Below are 20,306 nucleotides of genomic sequence, written 5' to 3' on the forward strand. Positions count from 1 at the left end.
CTGTTGTAAATACACAGAGAGGTAGAATTGTAGCTGAAGAACACACACTTATAGCATATTTTTGTAGGACTCAGGTGGGAATGAACTTGAAAATTACCATTGGATTTTCAGACAGTAATACAAAGTATTTCAGTCTTTTCCATGTGGTTTGTTTGTTTGGTTTCCAATTAATTACTTCCTGGGGGAAGCATTGGGAGTTGTTTCAGTTATAGATTCATAACAAAATGAGATTCATAAACTAAATACATGATATAATCTGAAGCCCTGCTAGGACTCTTACAGCTCGTCTTTATAACCTAGTATTCCTTTAATGAGTAGGAACAGTGAACTTTTTTTTAAACCCAAATGACACTATTGTCTTTAAAAGCTGTTAAAAATAGCAGAGCCAAAGACGTAATATTATAATATTCAGTTAGGGGAATTTTGAGTGTCATTATCTCCCTAAGCAGTAACCATGAACAAATTATCAAAGCCATTGTCTCTTTTAAAATGGAAAGATGAACCAAATGTATTAGCACCTCAGTGGGATTGGGAATATGTGAAAAACATAATCATAAAACAGCAATTGCTAAGCCTCTACTCAAGACACTCTTGTTCATCAGAGGTTTTGGTGCTGTTGGAAAGTCAGCACCTGCTGAAATCTGCCTGGGGATTCAGCTGCCTAGACTGGAATCACCTCTGCTAATGGATGCCAAAGCTTTGCCCTTGAAGATGTTTGTGTCCTTCCCTCTCCCTATACCAGTGGAATTTAGATGAGACTGTCTAAATGTAGAATATATTGCATAGGCTGAAGAAATTGTGTGTATCACTTGTTTTTAATTAATAGACTATTTTTATCTGTTCTTAGTTTATGGAAAAATTTGAGTGGAAAGTAAAGAGCTCCTATATAGGCCCGCAATTCCCTGCCTCCCCACCCCCTTGCCCCTAGTTTCCCCTATTATTAACATCTTTGCATTAGTGTGGTACATTTGTTGCAATTGGTGAGCCGATGTTGATACATTATTATTGACTATAGTCCCTAGCTTACATTAGATTTTCCTGTTGTGTTGTACATTTTATGGGTTTCGACAAACACTTAATAATGTTTATTCATTATCATATCAGAATAATTTCACTGCCCTAAAAATGTCCTGTTCTCCGTCTATTCATTCTTTCCTCCCTCCCTTGAGACCCTGGCAACCACTGGTCTCTTTACTATCTCCATAGTTTTGCCTTTTCCAGAATGGCATATAGTTGGAATCATACAGTATTTAGCCTTTTCAGACTGGCTTCTTTTACTTCGCAGTATGCATTTCAGGTCCCTTCGTGTTTTTTTCATGGCTTGCTGGCTCATTTCTTTTTATTGCTAAATAATATTTCATTGTCTGGATTACCACAATTTTTTCATTCATCTGTTGAAGGACATCTTGTCCAAGTTTTAGAAGTTATAAGTAAAGCTTGTATAAACATTCTTGTTCAGGTTTTTGTGTGGACATAAACTTGCAACTCATTTGAAAAGTCGTTAATTGTGAAAAGTGTTTTTGACAGAGAGGAAAGACACAGGTCTTTAAGTTAGAAAGACTTTAATCTCAACCTTGCCATTTTAGTCATTCAGTACGTTTTTATTGGAGGTCTACTGTGCTACCCCTGCCGTTTTTGGTGTTAGAAATGCATATAGGGCTCCTCTGCCTGTAACCTGAGTGCCCCACCTACATTAAAAAGCCTCATTAGACTTCTGGTTCCTGATCTGAAAGATGCCTATCTTCTTGAATATTCATGATTTTCTATTTTATTTTGAAAATTAGAACAGCTGCCACGGACAGGACTTGTATTTCCTGGGAGCAAGTGCCAAATTGCTACATAGCATCCCATTGAGAAAGAAGTGATAAAATGTGTTAGTTCATTTTCTTTCTAGTCCTTCTAACCTATATGTTTTTTAAAATATTTGTCTAAATATGAAAAGCATTTTAATACTTTCCAAAACAATATTCTTGAATTATCCACAATATAAAATGAAATAAGGACATGGAATCATTTTTTGTATATCTAATAGTGATGAGAATTGGACTTGAGCTGAGAATTCATTTTGAGCTCTATCTCCATCACATACTGGCTTCGTGATATTGGCTTATTCTCTTGACTTTGCAGGGAGAACAGTTTCCTATTGGTAAAATGAAGGATAATAATATTTGTTCATCATACAGGTTTCTTTGCTTATCATACAGGACTTTTGTGAAGCCCAAATGCAAAAATGTACAATGTATATAAAAGAATGTTGCAAACTATAAAACACCATAAAAACATTCAGTATTATTACCAATTGCTTTAATGTATTTCTAGGTCTATTTAATCTTTTATTGTATATATTTAATCTATACAACATGAGGTTTTGATATACATATGCCTTGTGAAATGATGACTACAGTTAAGCAAATCAACATATCACTCTCCTCACATAGTTATCATTTTTTGTGTGTGATGAGAGTACCTGAAATCCACTCTCTTAGAAAATTTCTACTATACAGTACACTATTATTAACCACAGTCATCATGCTGTACTTTACATTTCTAGTTGTGTCCTATACAGTTGTAACTTTGTAGCCTTTGACCAACATCTCCCCACTTCTGACATCTTCCCACCCCTGGTAATCACCATCCACTCTCTGTTTCTGTGTATTTGCCTTTTCTAGATTCCACATATAAGTATGATTATGTAGCATTTGTCTTTCTTTGGCTTATTTCAATTAGCATAATGTTCTCCAGGTTCCTCTGTGTTGTCACAAATGGCAGGGTCTCCTTTGTTGAGGCTGAGTAATATTTTATTGTGTTTGTATCTATATAGACAATTTATTTATCCTTTCATCCATAAATAGACACTTTGGTTGTGTCCATATCTTGGCTATTGTGAATAATGCTGCAGTGAACAGGGGAGTACAGGCATCTCAGTATTGATTCCTTTCTTTTAGGCATATACCCAGAAGTGGGATTGCTGGATTATCTGGTAGTTCTATTTTAACTTTTTGAGGAACCTTCACACCGTTTTTCATAATTGCTGTACCAATTTACATTGCCACCAAGAGCGTACAAGGATTTCCTTTTCTCTACATCCTCATCAATACTTGGTATCTCTTGTTTTTTCAATAAGAACCATCTTAACAGGCATGAGATGATATGTCATTGTGATTTTGATTTAATTTCCCTAATGATGAGTGATGTTGAGTACCTTTTCATATATCTATTGGCTAATTATATGTCTTCTTTGGAAAAATGCCTATTCAGGTCATGTGCCTGTTTTTTTTATCTGCTTCTCTGTGGGTTTTGTTTTGTTTACTACTAAGTTTTATGAATTCCTTACATATTTTGGATATCAACCCTTTATCAGGTATATGGTTTGCAAATATTTTCTCCCTATTCATAGGCTGACTTTTTATTTTGCTGGTTGTTTCCTCTGCTGTGTAGAAGCTTTTTAGTTTAATATAGTCTTACCTGCGTATTTTAATTTTGTTGCCTGTGCTTTTGGTGTCTTATCCAAAAAAATTATTGCCAAGTCCAATGTCAAAGAGCTTTTCCCCTATGCATTCTTCTAAAAGCTTTAAGGTTTGTCTTACATTTAAGTCTTTAATCAATGTTAAACTCATTTTTTGTATATTTTTTATTTTTAATTTAACTAACCCCTTACTAAATTGGGGTGGGATTTTTTCATCACATCAGTACTGAAATCTTTATTTTCTGGAATTTCATAGTCTACTAATGTCAGTGGGTCAATACGGTTATGATCTGCCTAATTTCCTCCAGATGTTAGGATCCTCTGAAAAGCAGATGTCAAAATGGATTTAACATACAAAGAATGTATTAGGAAAAACACCTATGCAAGAAAAAATGAGGAAGAAGATGGGGGTGGTCGGTGTGGAGAATAAGCATACCGCAGAGTAAAGATGGTCCCAAGTGAAAGGGAGAGGATATGAAGGTTGGGTGGAAGCGTTCTAGACTGTCATGCAGTCTAAGGAAGGTTCATCAGGGAATCGGGGTATCCGTGAGCTATAATCAGCCCTCATAGGAGTCTCTTGTAACCAAGAAACTTGCCTGTCTTAGTATACTTGTTGCATTCAATTATTAGCTGGGAACAGCTGGTAAAAGTGTAACCTTAGCACAAATCTGGTAATAGACAGAATGTGGCAGTTGGGTAAGTTATGTTCCCAGCAGTTGGAGATCTATGAGGAACATTTTCATGTCCACTAGACTTCACAGAGACTTTTTTCCCTAAATAATAAACAAAAGTGATGAACCACTTATTTAATAATGTTTTACTAAGGATGTGAAGAGGAGAAGCAGAGACAAGTGAGACAGAATGCAAATATTACCAAGTGTGGGAAACCATCTGAGAGCAGGCACATTCCCAGAAGAGGGGTTCATGTCAGGGTTTAGTAACACTGTCCTCATGTTCGAGTTCCTGTGTAATCAGTCTACAGGTGCCATTGACCTGCTGTAAGAACTTGTTTTCCTTATCCAGTGTTTTTGTTTATGTTTTACCACCTTGTTTGTGATAGCTAGTCTTCCAAAAATTCTTCTGGGCGGTGCATTTAACCATTTCCTAAATTGCAGAATAAATATAAGACATTAAAAAACTACATTTGGCCTCTGGGATATAAAATGAAGTTTTCAAAGAGTTAAAATCTTTGGGAGTACTGGAAAATTTCAAAACGGGAGGCACCTTCAGATGCAGATTTCATACCCTTAGAAATGATAAAACTACCTTTCAATACAGCTTCCTATATTTCTCATCTCTACTCATTGCCTTCCTAAATTATCTTGTTCTTTTTCCCATCTTTCCTCCCACTCTTCAATTAAGAAGAATGACTGTCAGGAAAAATGGAACACATGAAAAGTTATTGTTAAAATATTAATAGATGTCAGTATGACTCTCTAAGTTCATGCATTCCAGAGTTACCCCACTGGGCTACCATTGTGGGCAAGCTACAATGAGCATGACTCTCCATTCTCACTCAGTCCTTGAGGTGACACACCATCTCTTAAGGCAGAAAGATGATTTTATCTTCAGATAGCAGATTATACTGATTTCCCAAGTGTATGTGACTATTTGTTTTATTTTTAATTTCCTCTTTCCTGTGCTTTTAGTCTCCTTCAAAAATTTATCTTGGACAAACATTCCATCTCTCCTTTCTCCTCAAAGCTAGAAAACTAGATCTTATAGTAAGCTGACTTCAGTTCTTAAAGAAAGGACAAAATGCCATAGAAAGCCGTAATATTCTTCCTATGACCTTAACTTATATTGCAACCCCTCCAGGGAGCTGTCAATTAAAAGCATGGAATTTACACAAATCTAAGTCTCGGAAATCAGCCAGCAAGCTGCACCAAATATGTGGAAAAATCTATTAAATAGCTTTTTAACCTTTACTACTTACCATGTTTGATTGTACAAATCTATATCCTCAGGAGACATAGGCAATGCTAATTGTGATTCATGTGAAGAAAAGAGCAAAAAGGTATTTCAACTGATATAAACATTTTTCAGTATGAGGTTAGATACTTAATGTGGAATATACCAGAAGCTAGCATACCGGACTAGATCACTCAACCAATTCAGAAGCAGAAATCTACTACTCTGCTCATTTAGTAGCCCTAATAATCCACTTTTTTATCCCTGGTAATTCACTACCTCAATTATAACACAGCATTTTCTAAGTCTGTAATTCTAATACTATTGAATATTACTTTAAAAGCTAAAGCAATACAGTTCATGTAAGCTATTATTAACAGATGCTTTCTGTGAAAACAATGATGATCTTATTGGCTAAAAGTCTTTGTGATATATTTTTTCTAAAGCATTTTGAGGGATATTAAAGCATTAGAAACTTTTGGTTTTGGAGTTTGGTAGTGTTATCAAAGATAGCTTTGATTTTCTCAAATCAAGAGATCTTTTTGTTGTCATGACATTAAACTATTTGCAGAAAACAAATTTAATAATGTCACAATAACTGTGAGTTCTTTCTGAAGACAGACTTCATTCTAAACTCCAAATTTTCCATTACTTCAGATGATTCAATTAAGATCCTTTGGGAAGCATTATGCCTGCCTTTCTGTTGAAATGTTTTTACGAATGCAGTACACTCTTCTTCTTGCTAAAATAGGTGAATTGTATTCATAATTTCAATACAACTTATGTGGTAAAATGCACAGGAAAGTGTAATTTTTCTCCATTTAAGTAGAACTGATACTCTGAAATAGTTAAACTTAGATTTTCATGCTCAGAAAATGTACAGAGCAATAGAATCTAAATATATTCATCTGTCCTTTGCATTACTTAGCCTGAATTAATATAACTAATATTTCAAATATAAGTTTCTACATCTCCAGTTAAGCTAGTTCCCAAATGAAGTCAACAGGATCAGAATCTAGACTAAATTGAAGAAAATTTAGTTCTTTAGCAAGAATTAAATTGAGAAAATGAATCAGGGGAGAGGGGAGCAGAAGGAAAATCATACTTTGCTAGTTATTTTTATTGTATTGACTAATTATCTGAGTGAAGGACTCTACTTATATGAGCACCTTAAGGACTCAGCCTCAAATCCTAATTAGAAGTATAATAGTAGGAAATAGTCAACTTTCGGAACTTCAGTTAACACAAATTATTAATTACATACATGTTTTTGAGCAAAATATATAGTATAAAGAAAAACATACTTAAACATTTCTCCTGTTTAGTCCTCCTTACTATGAAAATCTACTTTAAAACAAAATAGAGGCGATTGTTCTTTTTACACACAAAATCTAGATTTTTTTGGTTCATTGTATTCTTTCTGCCTATCCCCCCCAAAGCACCCCCTTCCCACGCATACAGAGCATGAAGTATTTTTAAATGTTTTTTATTTAAGTTTATCACCACTTAAGGGCCTGTGCCTTACTTAGCATGTTGGCATAGACCCCATAGCCTGGCCAAAAATACTCATCATTTAGGAATGATGACTTGGTAACACAGGGGTTTCATTGTGGACAAGTATGTGGAATCTCAGTCTCCTGCTCAGAAAAAAGAATGTGAGGATCATTGCCAAGGAAACCCTAAAGCCCAGTGCTTTTAGTGACATTTCAAATGTAAGTCTAGATCTGTGTACTTTTTTCCATCTATATTATATTCCATTAAAATGTTTTTAAAGCAAAAATAGCTTTTGGGGGGACAATTTTAAGAGGGGACAATTTTGGGGGAACACTAATCTCAAATCACCACAGTGCTCCCCTCTCACTACCCTGTAGCTGTATTCCCTAAAATTTCAAAGAATAGTATAGTAGATGCCTTAAAGTTCATTCCTGGATCTCAAGTTAAGAAATGCTAATGAGTGCAGTAGAATCTGCATATATTCTGATTTAAAATTCATGAGGCAACTCAAAAAATAAAAATAAGGTTTCACAACTTCAGTCAATTCTGTTGCTTTTTGATCATTTCTAAATAAGATTTTTGCTTATAATTTAAAAATGGCCCCAAAAGGAATCCAAATGCTAGTGTTGATGCTGAAAGTAAAGAGAAAATAGAGATCTAACATTTTATTGCATTTTATTAGAGAAATTTTATGTGCGCTTATGAATTTGGGAAAACTGCCAGTCTTAGGACATGTTCCTTATGAAGATCAAAGATCTACTCTGTAGAAATTGTTATAATAAAAATTGAGTTTGCCCAAAGAGAGAAAACCAAGCGTCACTCAGTGCTTCTCATGCACTGTGCTATTGAGGTAGTTCCTATCTTCCCATCTATAGAAACCTCAATTCAGTGATGAGGTCAAATGAAATTTCCTCCAAGAAGCTTTTACCAATATCCTCAATCTCATTGCTGGGATTCCTTTCTATACAGTCCCACAGCATTTGGTTTACCAACCCAAAACCTCACACTGATTTCATCTTGTTTCTTAAGGAAAAGGCCTCTGTATTTTACTTATACATTTTCTTCACAAAGCACACCTAAAACTTGCCCTGTAGCAGGTGTCCAATAAATATTTGATGCATGATTGAATGATTCGATGATTTTTGAGATAGGCCTTAAAGGAAACATAGGAATCTGAACAGAGTAGATGGGGCCAAGGAACCATAAAATTAGGTAGAGATGGGGTAAAGCCTAAACTAATTGGGAGAAACTGTGACGTATCCAGCCCCATAGATCATTTCATGCTTGTAGAATAACAAACTATCAGGCTAAGGTAAATTAAGAAGGTAATTTTCTGCACAGCAATGTAAATATCGATAGTGTATTTTTAAAACTTTATTGTTTGTGTAATTCTTTTCTATGACATAATATGGATTATTATATTGGCTTATTGTTTAATAAAAAGATAAATATTTAGAGCATTAAATTATATCAAACTTGGAAGTAAAATAAAGAGTACCTATCTTAAAACATAATCCTGGGTACTACTAGTAGTTTATAATTTAGTAACATGGGCATTTTCCCTCTGAAGATTATTCCACAGTGGCAAGTGGTGGGGGGAGGAGGAAGGAATAATTACTATTTATCTTATTTGTAGGCCTCACTCAATTATATCTACATTATAATGTATAACACTTGAGAAAGGCAATGCAGAAAATGAATTTTGAATAAACATATCCCTACTTCAGATGCAGCAGACCCAAATTGGCCTCTAACTACCCCCATTTGTTGAAGGAAAATTAACAAAGAAAAAGAAACGAGAAAAAGCCCTTCTTTCTATTTCACAAAATGACATTAGATTTCATCAGGTAACTTCTCTAACTCAGCATCCCTTCCAAATTACTTGGCAGTTATAGCCCTTTGTATCTCACACACACACACATGCACAAATGCACACACAGAGAACTTACTTTATATACCTCATGACCTTGATGAGAATCTTAAACTCTTGTTTATACAATAAAGTATGGGAGAAGCTGAGAGATAAGATAACTCCATGTGATTGAATCATAAAATCTCAGGTTTGAAAAAAATACCTTTTTCACTCTATCAGTAGAACTATGATATTTTATCAGTCTTTGTCATTTTTGTAAAAAGATTGGGAATCCACTTCCTGAAGTCAGGAATTAATCCCTCATTGTGATTTAATATGTTTCTGTGTGGCAAACAAATTTGATAATAACCAGATACTATCATGTATCATTCTGCTTCTATCCCTTAGCTTGTGTTCAGTGATTATTTAGTCCTATGCTAAGATTCTATTTTTCCAAAAATTCCTTTATTGGAAACCCAGTTTAATCACATGTGAGAAACCAATGGCTGAAGGTTTAAACAAGTGATTCTGATTTGCATAAGGTTTGGTGGGCAATTTTGCCTCCCAATGGGTATTTGTCATGCCTGGAGACTTTTTGGCTGTCATAACTGGGGGAAGAGTGGTGCTGTCATCTAATGGGTAGAGGCAAGGCTACTGCTAAACATCCTGTAATATACACAGCAAAGCACTCTCACGATAAAGACTTATTTGGTCCAATAGTGACCAGGTTGAGAAACACCGCTATAAACTAGTGTTACAAAATATTTGCATTTTCTTTAGAGTTGTACATATCCTAATTCATTAGTGAAACAAATAGGAGCATTAGCATGTCTGTCAAAATTAGTAAAAAAATATGAAAGTAATTTCTAAGGATAAACTTCTCATTTCTATCTGCCTCCTCAGGGACAGTTCATTTGTTCAAATAAGTCTCTGTAAAATTTTTGTGAAACCGGCATTTAGTTCTTATAAGTTCTGAGTCCATTGTAGTTGCAGTTAACCCTTTTATGACACTTAGCAGAGCTAGAGCTCAAAACTTCTTTTACGGATGATGATGCTATTAATGTATTGGTTCAATAAATAATAATTAACCAGGCTAAATTACAGCATGTGAAAATAGACTGTCTAATTCTCATTCTATTTTCTGTATTATTTGATGTTCTTCTGCTTGAAATGTGGTAGCAGATTCTGAATTTTAATCTACCTCAATTCAAATGTCTATATGTCAGGAATGCAAAGAGAATGATTCCTCTGAATTTGGCAGTTAGTTTTATGGAAAAAAGCATTTGTCACCAAAATGGCCAAAATTACATTTTTATTATTTCAATTAGAAATAAAATGTTTACCTAACTTCAAAACATTACCAGAGTCTGTTTTCAGTGCCTCTTTTAAATCATTTTCTATACAAAACATATTACTGTAACTAGCTTATATTTTATCGTCACTTGCCTGAGATTCTATATATCAGAATTACTTCTTTAAGAGATTTTTCTTTTCCTGTGCTCACCGCATTGAATTTCCATTAATACTTCTATGTAACCTTTGTAATTCTATTGTTCTTTACCTTTGGTTAATAACCTTTTATTTAAAAATGCCTAAATAATTACACACTGCTTCTCAAGTATGACACATTTTATATCGTATTGTATGTTAAGACATTTTAATAGCAACAGTAATAATAAGTCATAAAATGTCTTAAATTTATAAACACATTTAATACAGAAGGTTCTAGTCCAATTTAAAGTTTCTTTTGACCTGTGCTTATACACACAGCCATAACACATACAGAACACACTTATACATTCCCACATTGGTTTACACTTGACATTTAGCCTCTTTCAGGAAGGATGTCACAGGCATTCTCTATGTCCAGTAGTGCCCGATAATCTCTAGGCTACAAAACCATGAATAATTTAACTAACAAATATTACAGGGAGAAAATTGCAAGGGAATTCTAGTAAGCTAAACTCAATTTTTAGACTTGGCAATTCAAAGATAAAAAGCTGTTTCTTCTATGAAAAATGTAAACAGAATCATTCGAGTTGACAGGTACTTTGGGTCTCACTGGCACTTCATCTCAAAGATTAAGATATCACTAGAAATTAGGACGTAATTTATCACCAAATCACCATGGTCTTTGTAGCGACTTTATCCCTAGGGGGCGCGAGATGTTAGCTCTCCCACAGATGCAAGCCTTCAGTCCTTCTGTCAGATGAACTTGGGAGTCAGTATACTCTCACAAGAAGAGAGAAGTTGATTATTATAGCAAACTTGAAAATTGATTCTAAAATAAGCACGATTATGGCTTCTAACATGCCATCCAACTTACTGCCACTCATTCTGCCCTAGGCCTTATGTCTGTAATTGTTGGCTTTTTACCTACTGCCCTCTGTCTAGTGTGGTATCTTATTTCTTTGTGTTCGTCCTGCTCTTCAAAGTTCTTTCCTGGCTGAGGATTTGGATTTGGATTTGGAGCTGTCATTAAAAGACACCATTCATGAATTTCCAATACTTGAATAAACAACTTTTACTTTACGGTCATCACAAGTGAAGAAAGGGACATTTCATGATATCATTTGCAAATTAGGGAGCACAAGTAATCAATCTTTAATTTCTCTTTAAAGGGAAGGGAAAATGTTCTCTCTTGTCATTCCATCTGTGAATTCCTATAAAATGTGTTTGCTGTTTGTTTCTCCTCAAGACAGAGCTTGCCACCCAAAATCAAAATCCAAGTTCTCTACACATCCAAGATAAGATATGAATGGCTTTAGAGTATGTGGCAGAAATGAGAATTCTCAAAATTCCAGTGTTGTCAACTGCTCTCTGATTTTCCAAAATGTTAGTTTGATAACCAAAATGGAAAGAACTCCAGAGTCATTTTAGTAGGTGCCCATTAGATGCTAGGCGTTGTTTCTGGAGATACAAAGCTTAAAAATACATGATCTCTTCCCTGTTCTGATTGTGCTTTCATCATGCCAATACACTATGTATTTGAAATTCATAGAGCTTTAAGACTCATTATAAAATATTATGTATATGTAGCACATTAAAGTTCTATAGAGAAGAGAAAAGAAAAATGGTCTGTGAGAAAGGGCAAAGCATTAAATTCTTGGAAAAGGAATTTTCTTATTTCCCTTTACCTGGCAAAGGATTCACTTCATTGGTACCTAAGCTCTGTAAACTGTTTTCACTCCTTGGCCAATCATGAAAACACTGTTAGTTGCCAAAGGAAGGTATGATTTCAAATAATAGGAGACAATTACAGGTGCATGCCCTGACATAAATTAAGGTATAGAGATGGATCCTCTCAAAATTATTACATATTCAAGTGCCTTGTTATAAGCTGATGAAAAAACAAAATATGAAATTACAAAATGGTTTCCTTGGCTTTGCAGACCTCTACCTGTGAAGTGTATGAACAAGACTTAATACACACAGCAGAAATTCCACATTTAGGAGCCAAATATCACAGAGAACAAGTAATGTCATGTGCAATAAAGCAATTTCCTAAATGTTATTAGTCTGCATGTCTGCAGCCACCTGTCTAAAGCTCCTTTATTTTTATTTTAACAAAGTTGAATAAAAAAATTTCTTCATTTACAGTCTTATGCTTGGTTTGATGTTAAAAGGGATTATAATTGCAGTATAGAGAACACAAAACAATTTTAAAATTATAGAGATAAATTTTTATTATGAGACTGAACATATGATAAGCAATTTGAAGTAAACCTCATGTCTCAAGTAGTAAATGAAAATGCATTCTCACTTTGCATATTTGGTATTCTGTCTTAACAATGTTAAAAATGCTGAAAACTAGTTGTTATGTTGCATATTTACATGAAGTGTGTGTTCTTTGTTATGTTTCTGTTCACTGGGGCAAAATTCTTAACCTTAAATGAAATTTTGGTATACATGGTGATTGATAGATAACAGTCGAAAGATGGTATCCTCCCAGTCCTGTTTCTTCAGAAAGTCAGAAGATGGTTTTATTTATGTGTTGCAGATTGCCGTCGCTTTGCATTTTAGCACCACCTGGTGGACAAAATATCATTTGTTTTTTTCTCTACTGTTTAAAGTAGCCCCTTCACACTCTATACCCGATTATGATACACCTTAATAGACATTCAGCTGTGTAAGTTCTAAATTTTAAAGATTGTTGTAAATAAACTAAGGTTAAAAAATTGAAATGTTTCCCAAGTACTATAACCAATTTAAATGCCTGGGTTTTTTTAACCTTCATAAATATATCCAGATTTGAATAATGCTTTTCATTCATATGCAAAAATTGCTTCTTTCCACATTTTAATTTTTTATTGTTTATATTTTTTCTTAATATAGAATTAAATAAGATGAGGCAGTTTTCTGTATGTACAAAATTGTGGTTTAAATTATATTGTCTTCCAAAAATTCACATAATCACTTTGTAAATAGCACTTTATGAAGCATGTTCATACTATAAATTCTTACTATGCTAATATTTTATACAAAATTAAATTAGTATTTTAATTTATACTACTACAAAATAAGCCACTTTCCCCTTATAAATAAAATTCAGTTGTGGTCTTATGTGTATTAATTCTCAGTTTTTAATAGTTTTTTGAATTTTACAGAAGAAAAATTTGATAATATTTTCAAATGAAAAACACAAATATAGTTAAAGCTAGTTTTGAGAATTTTAATCATGTTAGTCTTTGTGTAGTCCCACATTTCTATAAAATATGGTGGAAATTATTTCTATGAAATACAGTAAAGAAGATAATTCATCTGCAGATTCCACGATGTTCCTTTGGAATACACCACTTACCTGTTCTCTAGTAAAATTGGAGATCTGCAAATTTTGATTGTGTGATAGTCAAGGATTCAAACATTCAGTAGCTAAATAGAAAGGTGGTAATTTTTAAATGGAAAATATATTCTAGTCTCATACCTTTTGTATACCATTTAAAATAAAACTATAGCAGATGACAACCTTCATCGACATGCATCTTGAAGTTATTTGTCATTTCAAGAAAGCATTTAAAATTTTGTTCTCTCTCTCTTTCTCTCTTCTTCCTTTTTTTTTTTCCCCCAAAGGCCTTGGATGGTATACTGTAAATTCAGCATATGGAGATACCATTATCATACCTTGCCGACTTGACGTACCTCAGAATCTCATGTTTGGCAAATGGAAATATGTAAGTGTGACCTACCTGGGACTTGGTTAATTGCCCTTGTTCTTTTAAATAAAATTCTTTCTGTGAGTAACTGTGAATTTCAAATTAACCTAAATGCAATATTAAACTGTGAGTACAAATGTAGGAAGGTAAAATTGTGTGGAATATGGCAAAAAAATAATTCCTATCTTACATAACAAATGATATTTTAAAATAAAGCCAATAAACACATAGTTCTTAGAATGTATTAGTCTGAAAGATTCCACCTTAAGTGTTAGAGGCAAAGAAAAAAGCAGAGTTCCAGAATAAATCAGTGGATTATAGGACAGACCTCAGTGGAGGATGGCAACCTTTCTTCATTTGTTCATGTTCTACTTGATGTGGTTATTGCAAAGACAAGATATATCAGTAGATAGAGCCTTAGACAGTCTTTCGGAATTAATCATCAGTATTACAAGCTTGATTCTGGCATTTAGCCTTAAAAATGTGTTGATGCTATAGGTCTTTTTTATATTTAACGGTGTTGATTTTTTCCCATATTTCTTGCAGATAGTAAAATCAAATCTTCTCAGGTATGAAGGTACAAGTGGGTCTGAAAATGGAGGGTAGAGATCCTGGTAGGGAGATGTGGAATGGCTATGTAACTTTGAGTAATAAAATGTCTCAATTTAATTAATCAATATTAATGCAAAGTGTTTGTGTGGTACAATTTCCCAATGCTGGACCACAGGAGACTCATGACAGTCTGCAAGCTTCAAGTAGATATGTTTCCCTGGACACAATATCAAAATTTCCCTAGCTCCTTGAAATGTTAAAAGGTATTTGCAAAGGAAAAGAATTTGATGGTCAAATACTTTACAAAAAGTTTATTGCGGCCGGGCGCGGTGGCTCACGCCTGTAATCCCAGCACTTTGGGAGGCCGAGGCGGGTGGATCATGAGGTCAGGAGATCGAGACCATCCTGGCTAACAAGGTGAAACCCCGTCTCTACTAAAAATACAAAAAATTAGCCGGGCGCGGTGGCGGGCGCCTGTAGTCCCAGCTACTCGGGAGGCTGAGGCAGGAGAATGGCGTGAACCCGGGAAGCGGAGCTTGCAGTGAGCCGAGATTGCGCCACTGCAGTCCGCAGTCCGGCCTGGGCGACAGAGCGAGACTCCGTCTCAAAAAAAAAAAAAAAAAAAAAAAAAGTTTATTGCATCACTTCTCGGAGTCTTTCATATGTAAAATGCATTAAGAATTGTCTGAGGGTCATAGTTTGATTCATTGCTTAGATTTATTTGACCACACAACTTTTTTCCTCAGATATCTCCAAGAACAAACATTCTGCAGAACACACTGTAAGAAATGTGCTTAAGCTTGCACTCAAGGGGTGGTTTAACACAGTCTTTTAAAATATAGGTTCTGAAATCAACAGGTTCCACAATGTGCTCACTGTGAGATTCTGGGCAGAGGAATTAATCCCTATTTTTTCATCCATAAAATGAGATAAAAATATCTTCCTCATAGTGTTGTTGTCAGAGTACCCGAAGAAATTGATATCAAAATACTTACCTAGTACTTGTCGTGTAGTAATCATTCAACAAAGTGAACTCGTGTCTGTGATGCTGCAGAATCCTAACCATACTATGCTCGTGTGAGTGGGAAATGAAAGGAAAGGAAAGGAAGGTGGTAAGGCAGCACAGCATTTCTCTGTAGCCTCCTTCTATTTAGTATCCAGTTCACTCGAGGTAACTTTGAACTATTTCTGGTTTCCTATAAATGTGGAAATGTGAAGTTAAGGCCTCTGAGGACAGAGTCTATTAGTGCCAACAAAATTCCAAGTGCCTGGGAGACTACCACACAATGCACTTGTTCAATCAAATTTGCTGCCAAAACAAATGGAGTCAGGTGATGGCAAACTTTGATGATCATAGAAAATTCTAACTATAACCCAGGGAGTAGCATTCACCCAGGGAGCAGCACAGTTAGTGAAATGTGGGAGTTAGTAAACCCAGGGAGTAACACAGTTCAGTAAACTGAACTGGCACAGTGGCACTGGAAATCAAACAATAATGGCAATTTTCAAATTTTTAGTTCAGCAAAAGTCTTCAGCAATAAACTGAAATATATTTGAGGCACTATATGCTCTAAAGTCAATCTTGATTTGCAGAAATCAAACAATAATGGCAATTTTCAAATTTTTAGTTAAGCAAAAGGCTTCAGCAATAAACTGAGATACATTTGAGGCACTATATGCTCTAAAGTCAATCTTGATTGCAGAAATGCTAAAATAGAGCATTTGCAATGCTCTAATTTAATGTAACCACCTAAAAGACAAAGGAAAGTTTTGGAAAAATGAGCCGAAGTAAACATAGAGAAGAAATGGCCTGATTTCTCCTGGATCATATTGTAAACTCCCTGTGAATGGAGATTACAGCTCCCTATTCACTCCTCCCAACCCTACTCCTGACACCTCCTCACCATTATCTGCCATAGTGCCTGGTGCAGAAGAGGGATTGAAGGCTATCAAGAGTGGTACAGTGTAACCATAATGAGGCCAAGCTCTAAGCTCAAATTTTTGCTCTGCTAAGATTTCCCAGCCAAGACCTTGGAAAGTTACTTAACCAAACTCAACCTCCATGGTCTAGTCTGTAGATGAGGCTAATATTTAAGTTTAACTTATAAGGCTGTTATGAATATTAAAACCAATTACTGCATAGAAAGCCCAAAGAAGGCCGGGCACGGTGGCTCACGCCTGTAATCCCAGCACTTTGGGAGGCCGAGGCGGGCGGATCACGAGGTCAGGAGATCGAGACTATCCTGGCTAACAGGGTGAAACCCCGTCTCTACTAAAAATACAAAAAAATTAGCCAGGCGTGGTGGCGCGTGCCTGTAGTCCCAGCTACTCTGGAGCCTGAGGCGGGAGAATGGCGTGAACCCGGGAGGCGGAGCTTGCAGTGAGCCGAAGTTGTGCCACTGCACTCCAGCCTGGGCGACAGAGCGAGACTCCGTCTCAAAAAAAAAAAAAAAAAAAAAAAAAAAGAAAGCCCAAAGAAAACACCTGCCATAAAGTTAAGTGCTCAAAAATTAGTAACTATTATTTATTGAATAAGGGGATGATGAATAAGGTAGTGGTCTAACATACTTTGCATAATGAAGGAATGACTTAAGAAGAGGATTTGCGTTGTAAACCTGTGATTAAAACAGTTAAGAAGAATATTGTTGATGTATTCAGATATTTAAGCAAATAAAACTTTTGGACTCCAATATCAACTTAGTAATTGATATTATTAATTCTTAAAACTGAATCCTCCATAGAATCCTAAAATTTGTCATGGACTATAACATATATCACATTTAATTTTCTCAAAGGTCTTGTAGGGTACATAAAGGAGGGACTGCCCCTGATTTTACATTAAATTGCTTATTAGGTGAGAGAATTTTTGTGGGACCAGAGGAAGAAATGCGTTATATGTCTCAGTGCTCTTGGCATAATTGTGTATGCAGAGTACATCTTATTTTGGTGATGTTTTTGTATGAAAGACTTTTGAGCTCATTGTTATGACTCAGCAAAACTATGGGTTGTATTAGTTAATCTGACTCATTCCTTAATGGACATAATTATTTTACAAGGGTAAATACTGTTTCTCCATCAAGACTGGTTAAACTATTCCATGTATAAAGGTCAGCTACATCAGTTTTGGTTAGAGGTGTGGACATTTAAAATAGGTGGATTAAAATAAAGAATATTCCAAAGATAATTGCCCAAAATATCCAAACCAGTATTTGCAGCTCAAGTGTATACCTGCCGTGATGGTTATCTGAACATCATTTTGTACCTTTGTTTGCATTTATTTATGTTTTATTTTATATTAAACATATGCAGCCCATGTAAGTTTCAAAACAGTTAATAATTCTATCTTCTCAATGAAAAAAAAATCTGATTCCTAGAGCTCTACCCTTTCATTTTTACTCATTATGGCTTCTCTCTTATGAAGGATTTTCTGTAATCAAATATTTACGTGAGACTTGTATAAAAATTATTCTTCGTAGACAAAAAATATAGATATTGGTAGAATATGGCCAAGGAAATGTTATTTTGAATGTAATCCTGAAACATCTGAATATGCTTGTGTTTAAATGTATTATTATTTTAATTTTTAGGAAAAGCCCGATGGCTCCCCAGTATTTATTGCCTTCAGATCCTCTACAAAGAAAAGTGTGCAGTACGACGATGTACCAGAATACAAAGACAGATTGAACCTCTCAGAAAACTACACTTTGTCTATCAGTAATGCAAGGATCAGTGATGAAAAGAGATTTGTGTGCATGCTAGTAACTGAGGACAACGTGTTTGAGGCACCTACAATAGTCAAGGTGTTCAGTAAGTAGTCTGCAGCAGTGTCACTGCTAAGTGGGATTGATGGCCAGTACCAGACCATGTTCTTTAGAAAGAAGACTGAACTCTCTGTAGTGTCTCTATAGCAGGTATCTATATAAGGGGACTTAAAGAGATCTTCATTCTGCTCATATATACTATCAGCAAAGAAAACAAAGAGTATGAAATTCAAATAGGAGATTTGCAGTGAGGAACTAAAATAATATTCTCTGTTACTTTGTCATGTAAAAATGTCGTGAGCTATGAAGTACTACTACTGATAACTAGCAGGTGATCTTAATTTTTACTGACATGTACAAATAAGTGTTGTGTGATACATACATAGATATATGATATATATGTAATCATGTATATCACGCATACATATACATGTATTTGGCTGAACCAAATGAAATTGCCATTTTGCTGCATAATAAAAAAATATAAGCAAATTCAAACTATATTTTAACAGAGGTATAAATTTTCCATTTATATATATCCACATATATAAATATCCCATATATATCCACATACAAATATTTTATATATTATATATATTAGAGATATAGATACATTTCCATCCTGACCTTTATTGACTGGTTATTGATTTAGATTTCAAAAAGTATTCACTTGCTTTAGAAAATTGTCCTAAAATTAAAAAAACTCACTATACCCTGAATGCTTATGTGGGATACACCAAGGGGAGAAAGTAGAGTAGTGATGGAAGAAGAGAAAATTGTAGAAGAAACTTGGAATAATTATAGTCACTATGACAAAATTACTTTGCCTAATGATAGCATATAGTTAATGTTACTGTGCAAATAACTGTGCAAATGAATGACTTGAGAAGTTATAATTAAAGTATTTCATCTTTTAAAACTCAAATAAAAAGTCCCGCCTCTATTACTTCACAATATTTTAGACACTACAGGGAACGAAACAGGTCTCAAAAGTTTCAGAATGCCAGTCTTTCAGTCTTTTTTAATTAGGGAAGAAGGTTTCACTTTACAACTTTTTCCCCTCTGCTTTCTGATAACTTGACAGCGCTTAGAAATTATTAAAATAAATAGGGAAGAAGGAAACCCAGAGGGCCTTCCAACTACAGCAAGTAACTATGGATTTTTCCTGTTTCTCTTGTAATAGCCTATGCAACTAAGTAGGTCTGTCCCTCAAGTATTTATACGGACTTCAAAGCTCCTATGGGCTCATGATGCAGATTCAAAGCATGCTTATACTATCAAAGGAAACCTTTGTTCCCTAGAAGAACCTTGTAAGAGCATATTACATGTTTCAGTTGATTACCTTTCAGCTTAGAAGGCACTTTCCAGAAACCATCCACACTTCTCGATCGTTGTATGAATCAAACCAAGTGCAAACCAAGTGTTTGCAGTCATGCCTGTTTCCATAAAACATCCCAAATAGTCTGCATCCTGCATTTGCCAGTGGCCCATGTATTTTTTTCTTTTCTTCTATTTCACTTTCATGTTATTAGAAAGATGAATAGTGCACTGCTCAGGACACTTTTCTAAAGCGAGTAATCAAAAAGTTTTTTGGTGATAGTTATAATGTCATAATATAACCAGACATCAAAAATGGACCACAGTAGCTACAGAGGTTAAGTCACAGCACTCTAATGGTTATATGTATTAATTTGTCATTGTCAGGTTTCATTTTTAAGGTGTTAAAATTTTCCTACACTGAGATGGTAATATACAAGGGAGTTGAGAAAATTCAGTTTGTTTCATTTGGAAGAATTATTTGTGACAGTTTTCAAAACATTTTGTAAAAAAAAAAAAAAAACATTAAGCTATTCCTCATATGCAAGAAATCATACCTGTAAATCAGGCCAAATCTGATTTTTTCAGAAATCTGAAAAAAATTCAGCTGGCCTAATTCAATAAAATTTATCAGCTGATTTGGAATACAGGGAATTTCTATTATTGTGAAAACAAACTCACACCCCACCTACCGCCAACACCCCCCTACTCCCTTCTCTTTTTGATGTTGTTGAAAACAAAGTGATTCTCAGAAACAGAATTTGCATTCCAGGCTGTGGGCCAGGGAGAATTTACATAGA

General features: G+C 34.8%; 1 protein-coding gene across 4 annotated transcripts in view; it reads left to right on the top strand.

Moving 5' to 3' along the window:
• The window catches only part of ALCAM (activated leukocyte cell adhesion molecule), a 209,992-nt gene that overhangs the window by 139,365 nt on the left and 50,321 nt on the right, over positions 1 to 20,306 (top strand). For 3 of the 4 annotated variants that reach the window (NM_001627.4, NM_001243280.2, NM_001243281.2), the window contains exons 2-3: positions 13,794 to 13,894; positions 18,016 to 18,235. In NM_001627.4, the coding sequence (NP_001618.2) occupies positions 13,794 to 13,894; positions 18,016 to 18,235 (321 nt within the window). Of the gene's footprint in view, positions 1 to 13,793; positions 13,895 to 18,015; positions 19,115 to 20,306 lie in introns of those variants that run through there. The other variant, NM_001243283.2, reaches the window with a different exon arrangement.

This window comes from Homo sapiens, chromosome 3 (genome assembly GCF_000001405.40).
Source record: "Homo sapiens chromosome 3, GRCh38.p14 Primary Assembly".
Taxonomy (NCBI): Eukaryota; Metazoa; Chordata; class Mammalia; order Primates; family Hominidae; genus Homo; species Homo sapiens.